The sequence below is a fragment of the Homo sapiens genome, chromosome 11, assembly GCF_000001405.40.
Source record: "Homo sapiens chromosome 11, GRCh38.p14 Primary Assembly".
Taxonomy (NCBI): Eukaryota; Metazoa; Chordata; class Mammalia; order Primates; family Hominidae; genus Homo; species Homo sapiens.
Window position 1 is genome coordinate 118,490,886 of NC_000011.10, and position 15,824 is coordinate 118,506,709.

The following is a 15,824-nucleotide window of genomic DNA, read 5'->3' on the forward strand; positions in this document are numbered from 1 at the left end:
ATGTGTGAGAAACTTCTCTCTTCCATTCTTTTCTATTGTTTTATCTTTAAAATCTACCTCATGACCTTTATAAATGAAAACTAGTAAACTAAAGAAAACTAGTAGCATATGAAGCTTTTCTGTGAGTATTCGAGGGGCTCAGAATAATCTTGAGACTGCAGATGTGTGAACATTCCACAGTAGATCCATGCTGGTGTTCATGATCCCAGAAGAATATAGATTTAGATTGGGTTGGTAAATGCAAGTCGAGGGCCGTAAAAACACGGGTATGTGAGCCAAAGCACTGCTGTAAACTTTGCTTTGCTTTCAGGAAACTTCTGCCCTCTCTGTGACAAATGTTATGATGATGATGACTATGAGAGTAAGATGATGCAATGTGGAAAGTGTGATCGCTGGGTCCATTCCAAATGTGAGAATCTTTCAGGTACAGAAGGTTGGAGTCTTTTTATTTCAGTTTTCTTCTTTCTAGGTACTACTACATTTATTAGCCTCTAGAGCACTTTAAACCTAAAATTATGGTTGTGTTGTTATTTGAAATCTCTAAATTTATTTTTTAGTCTCTAGAATAAGCAGCATTGTATTATTTGTGCTCACTTATCTTGAATATATGCCTTTAAAGTATTTATTTGCTGTCCTTTGTGTGTTCCATAACCTGATTCTCAATAACCAAATTCAGGATTAGTGTTAATTAATAATGCCACTTTTTGAGATCAATATGTGTCATATCCATGAGGACATTAAAATCTTAATGTGGTTCCCAACATATGGCTTTATAGTAAGTTCAGTGGAATAGTTTCCTCTTCTTCCTCTCTCTCATTCTTCAGAGGACCTCATCATGGTAGGTTTTTGTTTTCTTAGATGAGATGTATGAGATTCTATCTAATCTGCCAGAAAGTGTGGCCTACACTTGTGTGAACTGTACTGAGCGGCACCCTGCAGAGTGGCGACTGGCCCTTGAAAAAGAGCTGCAGATTTCTCTGAAGCAAGTTCTGACAGCTTTGTTGAATTCTCGGACTACCAGCCATTTGCTACGCTACCGGCAGGTAGGCCAAGTCTCATTTTTTTCTGAGAGCTTGTTCTTAGGTAGTCTTTACCTAGTGTTTTTCTTTTGTTTTACTTCATTCTCCTCACTTAATTTTTAGTTACTTGTTTTGGCTATAACCATTAGGAAAATATTTAGAGCCAAGAATAGGACCTTCTTTAGCGTAAGAAATAGGAAGGAGCTGTATCTTCAAAGGTCTTGCTGTTACAATGAGAAATTTGGACTTTATACTCTGAAGGTGATAGGGAGCCAGTGAAGCACTTCACCCAAGACAGTAACCTGATCAGAGTTGCTTCTTAGAAAAAATATTGTTCTGACTGAGTGGAGAGGAAGGACTGGAGACACCTGAGCCTAGAGGCAGGATTCGTAGTTAGGGGACAGTTATAGTAATCAACTGGAAAAACACTTTCTGTTTATGTAAGTTGTGAACTTTACACATTTATAAAGTAGTCATTAGAAGAACCACACGGGGCCGGGCGCGGTGGCTCACGCCTGTAATCCCAGCACTTCGGGAGGCCGAGGCGGGCGGATCACGAGGTCAGGAGATCAAGACCATCCTGGCTAACACGGTGAAACCCCGTCTCTACTAAAAATACAAAAAATTAGCCAGGCATGGTAGCGGTCACCTGTAGTCCCAGCTACTCGGCAGGCTGAGGCAGGAGAATGGCGTGAACCTGGGCGGCGGAGCTTGCAGTAAGCCGAGATCGCGCCACTGCACTCAAGCCTGGGTGACAGAGCGAGAGTCCATCTCAAAACAAAAAAAAGAAGAAGAACCGCATGGATCACTTTACCTCAGAGCTAAGCTGCTGTTTTATCTTTTAATAGAGCTCCATTTTTTGAATAGGAAAATTAGCTGCTTTCTATGTTAAAAGGAACTGAACACAATTTCAGCTTCTTCATACTAGGTTTGGAATTATCAAGAAAAGCTCCTAAGTTACCCTAGCTAAGCTATTACATAACAGTCTCATTTTTAACTTTCCTTTTCTATTTGAGAAATCTGATTATTTTCATGTTCCTTGGGTTTTACAATATTAATCATTCAGTACCATCTTTATTAATTTTAATAGAATTTACATGGACACCTTGGTTTTAGTGTTAGATAAAAGCAACATATCTTTCCTGGCAATAGGCTGCCAAGCCTCCAGACTTAAATCCCGAGACAGAGGAGAGTATACCTTCCCGCAGCTCCCCCGAAGGACCTGATCCACCAGTTCTTACTGAGGTCAGCAAACAGGATGATCAGCAGCCTTTAGATCTAGAAGGAGTCAAGAGGAAGATGGACCAAGGGAATTACACATCTGTGGTATGTTTCTACAGTGAGCCATCAGAATTTCTAGTGCCAATAAAGCTTCTTTGGACCTTTGGGGCATGAAACTGAGTATAAGTAAATTTAAAAATGAATTGTATTATATTTAGAAATGTCACGTGGCTTTAGATACCTAAAAATGTATGAGTTATTTTAGCTTTGTGTTTCAGAAGAAGGGTTGTGATAGGGAAGATAATGTCTTAAAATAGTTCTTTTATTTGGCTTTCATCTCAGTTTTCTGAAAATTATTTTTATATTAAGAGGAAGCACTAAGAAACTGTTGATGTGGGAAATGCTAATATGAAATTAATTGGTTCTCCCTCCCCTTTTGAGATCAGATCTGAATAATGTGCCTTTCTTTATAAGGTCTTCATTTGTAGATAGATGCCTGTTAATTTTATGATTTTAAGTATGTATAGGAAATGATTATTTATTATCTCATGATCTATATTTGCGATTCTGTTGTTTATTTTTATTTATTTATTTATTTATTTGAGATGGAGTCTCGCTCTGTTACCCAGGCTGGCATGCAGTGACATGATCTCGGCTCACTGCAACCTCTGCCTCCCGTAATCAAGTGATTCTCCTGCCTCAGCCTCCCAAGTAGCTGGGATTACATAAGCATGTGCCACCATGCCTGGCTAATTTTGTATTTTTGGCGGAGATTGGGTTTCACCATGTTGGCTAGGCTGGTCATGAACTCCTGACCTTAAGTGATCCACCCACATCAGCCTCCCAAAGTGCTGGGATTACAGGCGTGAGCCACTGTTTATTTATTTTAATCCAAAATAAAAACTGTGGACCTGCTTGGATAATTTATCATGATACAGCCAATTTGTTTGCATTCTTACCTCATTAGCCTGGCATCTCTTAATTGCCACAGGTTAATCGTGAATTGAATCTCAAAGGTCTCAGCCAAAGAGTATTATACCACATTAAAATAGGGTGTGAGTTTTCTGTTGGATCTCTGTGCTGGATGATTAAGGAGGGAAGAGGAAATGGTTTTCAGAGCACACTGTTTTAAGAATAATTAACATTTTGTTTTTGTATACAGTTGGAGTTCAGTGATGATATTGTGAAGATCATTCAAGCAGCCATTAATTCAGATGGAGGACAGCCAGAAATTAAAAAAGCCAACAGCATGGTCAAGTCCTTCTTCATTCGGGTGAATGATATTACTAATTCATGTTTTTAATGCTTACCTATAAGTAATTACCCTGTGAATACAATGAACTTGTTCTCTTCTACTTTTTGCTTTGTGGTGTGTATAAAACATCTTTGGTTTAATTTGATCCCCTGATTCTTTGAGAGGAACTTGGTGAGGTTGCCAGAGTGGATGGATCTTTCTCTTGGTGGCCTGAAATTATCCTCGTATTAACAGAGAAGCTGGTTTGAAGATTTTTCATGTGGTATCTAAATGAGTGTTTACATATTTACATTTTGTTTGTGTTTTCTTTTAGCAAATGGAACGTGTTTTTCCATGGTTCAGTGTCAAAAAGTCCAGGTTTTGGGAGCCAAATAAAGTATCAAGCAAGTAAGTGAATTTAGCATAACTTTTTTTTCTCCTCATCGGCTAGAAATCTGAGAGTTCTCATATTTCTAGATTGCAGTTTTCCAAAAGGTTTTAATACTAGAAATGAATTGGTTGAAATGCCTTTTCGGTGTGGTTTTGAGGACTACATTTAATGTTTGTTATAAGCAATTGCCTTTTTGTTCTTTACTTTTATATTTGTTTTATTGTAGGGAGCTTGGTTTAATTGTGACAAATGTACAATACATGTGTGGTACAGCCATGTAGCTGGCCTTGTTATAAATGGGTTCTGTTTGACTGATAGTTCAAATGGTGCTTTGTACTGCTCTTGATTTTCCATATGTAACCTTTAATTTTTATTCCAGTAAATTCTTTTGATTTGATTTTATTTATTTATTTATTTTTTTTTTTTTGAGACGGAGTCTCGTTCTGTCACCAGGCTGGAGTGCAGTGACATGATCTCGGCTCACTACAACCTCCGCCTCCCTGGTTCAAGCGATTCTCCTCCCTCAGCCTCCCAAGTAGCTGGGAAAACAGGCGGGCACCACCATGCCCAGCTAATTTTTGTATTTTAATAGAGACTGGGTTTCACCATTTTGGCCAGGATGGTCTTGATCTCTTGACCTGGTGATCCGCCTGCCTCACCCTCCCAAAAGTGCTGGGATTACAGGCATGAGCCACCATGCCCGGCCTCTTTTGAGTTTTTGATAGGGTTATCATTTGTTTCAGCAAGTTTAACCAAGAGTCATATGTTGAGATATTTTTTAAAATATTGAGTTCTGTGTACTTCAGCAATTTTCAAACGCTGTGACTTGTTCTTATATTCTGTGAATGGCTCCTACATGGGGCAACAGGTGATATCAAGAATTTATTTTATACAGTTCTAGGTATACTGTAGGAGTTCAATAAATGCTTGTTGAATCAATTATTTTCAGCAGTGGGATGTTACCAAACGCAGTGCTTCCACCTTCACTTGACCATAATTATGCTCAGTGGCAGGAGCGAGAGGAAAACAGCCACACTGAGCAGCCTCCTTTAATGAAGAAAATCATTCCAGCTCCCAAACCCAAAGGTCCTGGAGAACCAGACTCACCAACTCCTCTGCATCCTCCTACACCACCAATTTTGAGTAAGCCACCAAAAGGAGAGTCGTCACCCATTTCCCTCTAGATGCAGATGATTGACTTCGTGAATCCAATTCACTAAAATTAGATATACTTGGATATCAGAAAGGAATTTTCAGGTCATCCTTAAATGTAATACCATCATTAATTTTGCTTCACTTGAGGTGTTAATGAGGACTTGATATAAATACTCTGGAGTATTGTAACATAGATGATGAGGTAGCGTAACTCTGAACACTTTTTGAAAAGTGGTTATTTTATAGGCTGTGGGCTATGTAAGCTGAATTATTTCTTTTTTCCTTGAAATCAGACATAGTATTGCCAATTTTAACTGGATCTCAAGGTATTGATGGGAGTCTTTTGGATTTCAAGGTACTGATAGGAGTCGAGAAGACAGTCCAGAGCTGAACCCACCCCCAGGCATAGAAGACAATAGACAGTGTGCGTTATGTTTGACTTATGGTGATGACAGTGCTAATGTAAGTACTTTGCAACACAGGGCCCTAGTTAATACATACTCCAAAAGAACTGTTTGTCCTTGTGTCCATACTTGATGACTGGGTGCCATTTATTTAATGAACTTACTTATAACTTACTAATTTATAACTTTTATTTACCTATAACTTATAACTTATTAATTTGTAACTTATTTTTTGTCACTTAGTTCATGGCACTTGGAGTTTTTTAATGACTGATTTTGTTGATTAAAAGGTGACTGATTTGCCTTAAATTAAACCCTTGATGTCTAGTAATTTCTAATGGAAGTTCCTCAAGAATATTTTGTGAAAGTTAATAAAATCTAAGTTGCATATTAAAAAGCTTGTGTTTCATATAGGATAGCAGAATCGTTAAGAGCCCGAGTTCTGCCGCCTGCCTGAATACATTTCTGTGCTTAACTGCCTACTTATTGACTTTGGCAAGTAGTTTAACCTCTCTGACCCTCAGTTTCATCTTTAAAATGAAGATAATAACGCTTACCTCAGAGTGGCTGTGAGGATTAAATGAAATAATGTATGTAAAGCCTCTATTTGGTGCCTGGCACACACAGTAAGCTACAATTTTTTTAAAAGTTTTTTGTGTTTTTTGTTTTGTTTTGTTTTGTTTTTTTGAGCGGAGTTTCGCTCTTGTTGCCCAGGCTGGAGTTTCGCTCTTGTTGCCCAGGCTGGAGTGCAATGGCGTGATCTCGGCTCACTACAACCTCCGCCTCCTATGTTCAAGCAATTCTCCTGCCTCAGCCTCCCGAGTAGCTGGGATTACAGGCATGTGCCACCATGCCCGGCTAATTTTGTATTTTTAGTAGAGACGGAGTTTCTCCATGTTGGTCAGGCTGGTCTCAAACTCCCGACCCCAGGTGATCCACCCACCTCATATCCCAAAGTGGTGGGATTACAGGCGTGAGCCACCGTGCCCGGCCAAAAGCTTTTAAATACCATCTGAGAGAACTGGCTTTGAAATACAGTTTATAGATGTCACTGCACATTTTTATAAACTTACCACCTATTGCTCTTTTTGTTTGTTTCCTTTTGAGACCAGGTCTTGCTCTGTCACCCAGACTAGAGTACAGTGGCATGCTTTTGGCTCACTGCAATCTCGGCTTCCGGGGCTCAAGTGATCCTCCTACCTCAGCCTCCTGAGTAGCTGAGACCACAGATGCGCACCACCATGCCTGGCTAATTTTTGTTTTGTTTTTGTTGAGACAAAGTCTCCCTATGTTGCCCAGGCTGGTCTCAAACTCTTGGGCTCAAGCGATCCTACCACTTCAGCCTCCAAAAGTGCTGGGATTACAGACGTGAACCACCATACCCAGCTCATTTTTTTATTCTCTAGATTTGTAAAATAGTTTCAGTCTATGGAAAAAGTAATCTTGAAAAGAAGGAAGTGGAAACAGAGCAACGTTGCAAAAAGAATTCTGATTTCTGTGTGCCTCCCTCCATTAAAGAATTATAGTTGCTTTCTTGAGGTTATCTTCACTGGAAAAGCTAATGCCGAGGAAAACCTCCTTTGGCATTATATTCTTTAGGAAAAAAGAAATCTCTTTATTTTATAGGATGCTGGTCGTTTACTATATATTGGCCAAAATGAGTGGACACATGTAAATTGTGCTTTGTGGTCAGCGGAAGTGTTTGAAGATGATGACGGATCACTAAAGAATGTGCATATGGCTGTGATCAGGGGCAAGCAGCTGGTAAGACCTTATGGGTAAATTTTATGAAAGAGATTCCCTCTCAGTTTCCAGATATTCTTCCTGTGGGTGAATATGGCCTCCCTGATATTTTTCACAGTGCCATCAGGGTAGTTAGCCAACAAGTATTGATATACATAATTCAACAGATAAAATGATAAATTTTATCTGTTTTCAATTTATCAATAGATAAAATGAATTGTAGGAACTGTAGAATGGGATGAGTCTATAGAGGAGACGGTAAACGTCTTAAAACATATGAAAGTCTGAATAGGACTCTGTTCTTTTTGGATTTTTAGAGATGTGAATTCTGCCAAAAGCCAGGAGCCACCGTGGGTTGCTGTCTCACATCCTGCACCAGCAACTATCACTTCATGTGTTCCCGAGCCAAGAACTGTGTCTTTCTGGATGATAAAAAAGTATATTGCCAACGACATCGGGATTTGATCAAAGGCGAAGTGAGAGAGCTTTAGTTGCTTTAAAAAAAAAAAAAAAGACTTTTTTAGAGCAGTTTTAGGTTCACAGCAAAATTGACTGGAAGGTACAGAGATTTCCCATATGCCCCCTGCACCCACATATGCACAGCCTCCCCCATGATCAGCATCCCCCACCAGAGTGGTGCATTTGTTACAGTGGATAAACCTACACTGGACACATGGTTATCACCCTGACTCCTGTAGTTTACATCAGCATTCACTCTTGGTGTTGTACATTCTGTGGGTTTGGACAAATGTATAATGATGTATATCCACCATTATACCATCATATGGAGTATTTTCGCTGCCTTAAACATCCTCTGTGCTCTGCCTATTCATCCCTGCCTCTCCCCAACCCTGGGCAACCACTGATGTTTTTACTATCTCCATAGTCTTGCCATTTGCAGAGTTTCACATAGTTGGAATCATATAGTACATAGCCTTTTCAGACTGGCTTCTTCTGCATAGCATTTAAGTTTCCTTCAAGTCTTTTCATGGCTTATTTAGTTGCTTTTTGAATTATTTCGAAATGCAAAAGAAAAACAAAAATACAGCAAGATGATAAACTGTTTTGCTTTTCTACTTGGTGTTCCTAGAGGCACCACCTCTTTTGGGAAATACAGAAGTGTCCTGCTAAGTGAAACAGAAGGATGCTTTTGAGATATGCTATGTGCCTTCCACTCTGAGACAGTCAGGATCATAAGTATAATGTGCAAAGGGACAGCCTATTAACAGCTACCATGGGTTTTATTTAAGGTGGTTCCTGAGAATGGATTTGAAGTTTTCAGAAGAGTGTTTGTGGACTTTGAAGGAATCAGCTTGAGAAGGAAGTTTCTCAATGGCTTGGAACCAGAAAATATCCACATGATGATTGGTATGACCTAGCCTTGGTTATTGGGGAAGGCTGTATATATCATTGGGGAAATTTCTGGTCCTCAGTTATAAAATGACCCTCAGCCAGGTGTGGTGTCTCACGCCTGTAATCCCAGCACTTTGGGAGGCTGAGGCGGGCAGATCACTGGAGGTTCAGGAGTTGGAGAACAGCCTGGCCAATGTGGTGAAACCCTGTCTCTACTAAAAAAAATTAGCTGGGAGTGGTGGTACATCCCTATAATCCCAGCTACTTGGGAGGCTGAGGCACAGGAATCACTTGAACCCCGGAGGCAGAGGCTGCAGTGAGCTGAGATTGCGCCACTGCATTCCAGCCTGGGCGACAGAGTGAGACTCTCTCAAAAAAATAAAATGACGCTCATAATCTTCTCTAATCGGTTCTTCTTTCCTTGGTCAGGGTCTATGACAATCGACTGCTTAGGAATTCTAAATGATCTCTCCGACTGTGAAGATAAGCTCTTTCCTATTGGATATCAGTAAGTAGCACTATAAAGAGAAGAGAGCAGCCCCACAACCTGAACACACTGAAGCCATGTGCAGGTCATTAAATGTAGAGGCATACCTGTTAGCTACTTTAAACTGCTACTAAAAATTAATCACTTATTTTGCTAGTTCTCGGATTCGTCTGCTTGTAGATTGGGACTATGTTAGCGGAATCCAGTTATAGAAGGAAAGTATTATTGACATAATTTCAGAATTACTTAAAAATAAAACCTTAGTAGAAAACACAAGGTCAGTCTCTTAAGATTCCTCCAAATTCCATTCATCTCCATGCAGAAGTGCAGATTGTTTTTATGGATAAAACAGCTCATGCCCTGTTCCCAACTTTACAGTTTATAAGTCCTTCTAAAACTATAAATCCACACAATAATGATCAAATTTTTCAATAAGAATTTATAATCTTACCTATATGAAGTAAGTTGTTAAAATGTCTAACAAGCTAACAATATAAGTTCAAAATTCCCCTTCTACCACTCCCGCGTTGGAGTCTCATTTTGCAATATATGCTCCAACTTACTCTGTATTCCTATTCCTATGACACAGTCTGTGCTCCACATTTAGCTGGCAGCTTTTCACACAAACCAGATTCCACTAGCATTCAGCAGATTTGAAGCAGTTACATTTCTCTTGTCTCATGGGGCTCTTCTCCCAAAGGAAACACCTCAGGTTTGCCCTTTGTTTTATTTTCAGGCCGTACTTTGTATACATTGTAAGGCAATAGTTCGGTCCTGAAGGCCAAAACTAATTTTTGTAATGGTTAATATTTTTCTTTCTCTTGCTTTTAGGATGTTTTACTATATTTGGTGCCTGCTTATGGTACAAGAAAAAAAGATCTTAGGCTATTTTCTGAGAGGCTAAGAAAAACCAAGGACTTCAAAAAGCTTGGAACAACCTAACTAGGGGAATCTATACTAAGAACCCATAAAATAAAGCTAAACTCTGTAATTAAGAGGGCCAGGGAACCTAGGATAAAGAGAGGTTTTGAAAAATGCTAGTTTCTGCTTCTATCCTCTCCCTTATGATGATTTTCCCAAATCTGTTTACCCAGGTGTTCCAGGGTATACTGGAGCACCACAGATGCTCGCAAGCGCTGTGTATATACATGCAAGATAGTGGAGTGCCGTCCTCCAGTCGTAGAGCCGGATATCAACAGCACTGTTGAACATGATGAAAACAGGACCATTGCCCATAGTCCAACATCTTTTACAGGTTAGTCTTGAATCAAGATGGGACTTGAGGCTGGGCACAGTGGCTCACGCCTGTAATCGCAGCACTTTGGGAGGCTGAGGCAGGTGAATCACTTGAGGCCAGGAGTTCAAGAACAGCCTGGCCAACATGGTGAAACCCCATCTCTACTAAAAATACAAAAAAATTAGCCAGGCATGGTGGCAGGCACCTGTAATCCCAGTAATCCCAGCCACTCAGGAGGCAGAGGCACAAGAATCACTTGAACCAGGGAGGCAGATGTTGCAGTCAGCCAAGATCACGCCACTGCCCTCCAGCCTGGGTGACAGAGTGAGACTGTGTCTCAAAGAAAAAAAAAAAAAGATGTGATGGAACTTGAATTCGATTCAGGGAGTACTATGATTGAAAGCTGGGGGAAAAGTCATTTACTTGGGAAGTCTCATTTGCTTCTAGTTTTACATTTACCTGATAGCTGACTTTTTATTGGTTAATTTGTTTGATATTTTAATTGGGCCTTTTTAGTTAAGAGTTTTTATTTCCTGCCACAGAAAGTTCATCAAAAGAGAGTCAAAACACAGCTGAAATTATAAGTCCTCCATCACCAGACCGACCTCCTCATTCACAAACCTCTGGCTCCTGTTATTATCATGTCATCTCAAAGGTCCCCAGGATTCGAACACCCAGTTATTCTCCAACACAGAGATCCCCTGGCTGTCGACCGTTGCCTTCTGCAGGTAAAAGACTTTATTGACCTACTTGACCTAAGAAGATCAGCCCAAAGACTAATTTGTAATTCTTTCAGGCAACTTTATCTTGGTGACTTTTACTGATTGAAAATGTAGATTCCGGGTGGGTGAGGTGGCTCATGCCTGTAATCCTAGCACTTTGGGAGGCCAGGGCAGGTGGATCACCTGAGGTCAGGAGTTCAAGACCAGCCTGGCCAACATGGTGAAACCCTATCTCTACTAAAAATTCAAAAATTAGCCAGGTGTGGCGGTGCATGCCTGTAATCCCAGCTACCCAGGAGGCTAAGGCAGGAGAATCGCTGGAACCCAGGAGGTGGAGGTTGCAGTAAGCCGAGATCGCACCACTGCACTCCAGCTTGGGTGACAGAGTGAGACACTGTCTCAAAAAAGTAATAATAAATAAATAGAAAATGTAGATTTCCAGTTACCTATAAATATATATATATATAGTCAAATCATTGAAACCAGTGACTTCTACACATTTGTTCTATCTACAATAGCATTTATTACTTTTTCTCTCTTGTTTAGGAAGTCCTACCCCAACCACTCATGAAATAGTCACAGTAGGTGATCCTTTACTCTCCTCTGGACTTCGAAGCATTGGCTCCAGGCGTCACAGTACCTCTTCCTTATCACCCCAGCGGTCCAAACTCCGGATAATGTCTCCAATGAGAACTGGGAATACTTACTCTAGGAATAATGTTTCCTCAGTCTCCACCACCGGGACCGCTACTGATCTTGAATCAAGTGCCAAAGTAGTTGATCATGTCTTAGGGCCACTGAATTCAAGTACTAGTTTAGGGCAAAACACTTCCACCTCTTCAAATTTGCAAAGGACAGTGGTTACTGTAGGCAATAAAAACAGTCACTTGGATGGATCTTCATCTTCAGAAATGAAGCAGTCCAGTGCTTCAGACTTGGTGTCCAAGAGCTCCTCTTTAAAGGGAGAGAAGACCAAAGTGCTGAGTTCCAAGAGCTCAGAGGGATCTGCACATAATGTGGCTTACCCTGGAATTCCTAAACTGGCCCCACAGGTTCATAACACAACATCTAGAGAACTGAATGTTAGTAAAATCGGCTCCTTTGCTGAACCCTCTTCAGTGTCGTTTTCTTCTAAAGAGGCCCTCTCCTTCCCACACCTCCATTTGAGAGGGCAAAGGAATGATCGAGACCAACACACAGATTCTACCCAATCAGCAAACTCCTCTCCAGATGAAGATACTGAAGTCAAAACCTTGAAGCTATCTGGAATGAGCAACAGATCATCCATTATCAACGAACATATGGGATCTAGTTCCAGAGATAGGAGACAGAAAGGGAAAAAATCCTGTAAAGAAACTTTCAAAGAAAAGCATTCCAGTAAATCTTTTTTGGAACCTGGTCAGGTGACAACTGGTGAGGAAGGAAACTTGAAGCCAGAGTTTATGGATGAGGTTTTGACTCCTGAGTATATGGGCCAACGACCATGTAACAATGTTTCTTCTGATAAGATTGGTGATAAAGGCCTTTCTATGCCAGGAGTCCCCAAAGCTCCACCCATGCAAGTAGAAGGATCTGCCAAGGAATTACAGGCACCACGGAAACGCACAGTCAAAGTGACACTGACACCTCTAAAAATGGAAAATGAGAGTCAATCCAAAAATGCCCTGAAAGAAAGTAGTCCTGCTTCCCCTTTGCAAATAGAGTCAACATCTCCCACAGAACCAATTTCAGCCTCTGAAAATCCAGGAGATGGTCCAGTGGCCCAACCAAGCCCCAATAATACCTCATGCCAGGATTCTCAAAGTAACAACTATCAGAATCTTCCAGTACAGGACAGAAACCTAATGCTTCCAGATGGCCCCAAACCTCAGGAGGATGGCTCTTTTAAAAGGAGGTATCCCCGTCGCAGTGCCCGTGCACGTTCTAACATGTTTTTTGGGCTTACCCCACTCTATGGAGTAAGATCCTATGGTGAAGAAGACATTCCATTCTACAGCAGCTCAACTGGGAAGAAGCGAGGCAAGAGATCAGCTGAAGGACAGGTGGATGGGGCCGATGACTTAAGCACTTCAGATGAAGACGACTTATACTATTACAACTTCACTAGAACAGTGATTTCTTCAGGTGGAGAGGAACGACTGGCATCCCATAATTTATTTCGGGAGGAGGAACAGTGTGATCTTCCAAAAATCTCACAGTTGGATGGTGTTGATGATGGGACAGAGAGTGATACTAGTGTCACAGCCACAACAAGGAAAAGCAGCCAGATTCCAAAAAGAAATGGTAAAGAAAATGGAACAGAGAACTTAAAGATTGATAGACCTGAAGATGCTGGGGAGAAAGAACATGTCACTAAGAGTTCTGTTGGCCACAAAAATGAGCCAAAGATGGATAACTGCCATTCTGTAAGCAGAGTTAAAACACAGGGACAAGATTCCTTGGAAGCTCAGCTCAGCTCATTGGAGTCAAGCCGCAGAGTCCACACAAGTACCCCCTCCGACAAAAATTTACTGGACACCTATAATACTGAGCTCCTGAAATCAGATTCAGACAATAACAACAGTGATGACTGTGGGAATATCCTGCCTTCAGACATTATGGACTTTGTACTAAAGAATACTCCATCCATGCAGGCTTTGGGTGAGAGCCCAGAGTCATCTTCATCAGAACTCCTGAATCTTGGTGAAGGATTGGGTCTTGACAGTAATCGTGAAAAAGACATGGGTCTTTTTGAAGTATTTTCTCAGCAGCTGCCTACAACAGAACCTGTGGATAGTAGTGTCTCTTCCTCTATCTCAGCAGAGGAACAGTTTGAGTTGCCTCTAGAGCTACCATCTGATCTGTCTGTCTTGACCACCCGGAGTCCCACTGTCCCCAGCCAGAATCCCAGTAGACTAGCTGTTATCTCAGACTCAGGGGAGAAGAGAGTAACCATCACAGAAAAATCTGTAGCCTCCTCTGAAAGTGACCCAGCACTGCTGAGCCCAGGAGTAGATCCAACTCCTGAAGGCCACATGACTCCTGATCATTTTATCCAAGGACACATGGATGCAGACCACATCTCTAGCCCTCCTTGTGGTTCAGTAGAGCAAGGTCATGGCAACAATCAGGATTTAACTAGGAACAGTAGCACCCCTGGCCTTCAGGTACCTGTTTCCCCAACTGTTCCCATCCAGAACCAGAAGTATGTGCCCAATTCTACTGATAGTCCTGGCCCGTCTCAGATTTCCAATGCAGCTGTCCAGACCACTCCACCCCACCTGAAGCCAGCCACTGAGAAACTCATAGTTGTTAACCAGAACATGCAGCCACTTTATGTTCTCCAAACTCTTCCAAATGGAGTGACCCAAAAAATCCAATTGACCTCTTCTGTTAGTTCTACACCCAGTGTGATGGAGACAAATACTTCAGTATTGGGACCCATGGGAGGTGGTCTCACCCTTACCACAGGACTAAATCCAAGCTTGCCAACTTCTCAATCTTTGTTCCCTTCTGCTAGCAAAGGATTGCTACCCATGTCTCATCACCAGCACTTACATTCCTTCCCTGCAGCTACTCAAAGTAGTTTCCCACCAAACATCAGCAATCCTCCTTCAGGCCTGCTTATTGGGGTTCAGCCTCCTCCGGATCCCCAACTTTTGGTTTCAGAATCCAGCCAGAGGACAGACCTCAGTACCACAGTAGCCACTCCATCCTCTGGACTCAAGAAAAGACCCATATCTCGTCTACAGACCCGAAAGAATAAAAAACTTGCTCCCTCTAGTACCCCTTCAAACATTGCCCCTTCTGATGTGGTTTCTAATATGACATTGATTAACTTCACACCCTCCCAGCTTCCTAATCATCCAAGTCTGTTAGATTTGGGGTCACTTAATACTTCATCTCACCGAACTGTCCCCAACATCATAAAAAGATCTAAATCTAGCATCATGTATTTTGAACCGGCACCCCTGTTACCACAGAGTGTGGGAGGAACTGCTGCCACAGCGGCAGGCACATCAACAATAAGCCAGGATACTAGCCACCTCACATCAGGGTCTGTGTCTGGCTTGGCATCCAGTTCCTCTGTCTTGAATGTTGTATCCATGCAAACTACCACAACCCCTACAAGTAGTGCGTCAGTTCCAGGACACGTCACCTTAACCAACCCAAGGTTGCTTGGTACCCCAGATATTGGCTCAATAAGCAATCTTTTAATCAAAGCTAGCCAGCAGAGCCTGGGGATTCAGGACCAGCCTGTGGCTTTACCGCCAAGTTCAGGAATGTTTCCACAACTGGGGACATCACAGACCCCCTCTACTGCTGCAATAACAGCGGCATCTAGCATCTGTGTGCTCCCCTCCACTCAGACTACGGGCATAACAGCCGCTTCACCTTCTGGGGAAGCAGACGAACACTATCAGCTTCAGCATGTGAACCAGCTCCTTGCCAGCAAAACTGGGATTCATTCTTCCCAGCGTGATCTTGATTCTGCTTCAGGGCCCCAGGTATCCAACTTTACCCAGACGGTAGACGCTCCTAATAGCATGGGACTGGAGCAGAACAAGGCTTTATCCTCAGCTGTGCAAGCCAGCCCCACCTCTCCTGGGGGTTCTCCATCCTCTCCATCTTCTGGACAGCGGTCAGCAAGCCCTTCAGTGCCGGGTCCCACTAAACCCAAACCAAAAACCAAACGGTTTCAGCTGCCTCTAGACAAAGGGAATGGCAAGAAGCACAAAGTTTCCCATTTGCGGACCAGTTCTTCTGAAGCACACATTCCAGACCAAGAAACGACATCCCTGACCTCAGGCACAGGGTGAGAGATCCAAATACTAGCTAGGCTGGGTCTGTGGGATTTCATGTTGTAAATTAGGGGCTG

The 15,824-nt window shown here is 41.9% G+C and overlaps 1 protein-coding gene across 9 annotated transcripts in view; it reads left to right on the forward strand.

Moving 5' to 3' along the window:
• The window catches only part of KMT2A (lysine methyltransferase 2A), a 90,341-nt gene that overhangs the window by 54,394 nt on the left and 20,123 nt on the right, over window positions 1–15,824 (forward strand). For 5 of the 9 annotated variants that reach the window (XM_011542829.3, XM_011542830.3, XM_011542833.3 and 2 more), the window contains 14 exons: window positions 311–433; window positions 859–1,043; window positions 2,172–2,345; window positions 3,403–3,513; window positions 3,809–3,882; window positions 4,815–5,008; window positions 5,376–5,482; window positions 7,051–7,188; window positions 7,485–7,643; window positions 8,418–8,535; window positions 8,950–9,028; window positions 10,102–10,262; window positions 10,787–10,972; window positions 11,513–15,761. In XM_011542829.3, the coding sequence (XP_011541131.1) occupies window positions 311–433; window positions 859–1,043; window positions 2,172–2,345; window positions 3,403–3,513; window positions 3,809–3,882; window positions 4,815–5,008; window positions 5,376–5,482; window positions 7,051–7,188; window positions 7,485–7,643; window positions 8,418–8,535; window positions 8,950–9,028; window positions 10,102–10,262; window positions 10,787–10,972; window positions 11,513–15,761 (6,058 nt within the window). The remainder of the gene's footprint in view (window positions 1–310; window positions 434–858; window positions 1,044–2,171; window positions 2,346–3,402; window positions 3,514–3,808; window positions 3,883–4,814; window positions 5,009–5,375; window positions 5,483–7,050; window positions 7,189–7,484; window positions 7,644–8,417; window positions 8,536–8,949; window positions 9,029–10,101; window positions 10,263–10,786; window positions 10,973–11,512; window positions 15,762–15,824) is intronic. The other 4 variants (NM_001412597.1, XM_047426963.1, NM_005933.4 and 1 more) reach the window with 1 other exon arrangement.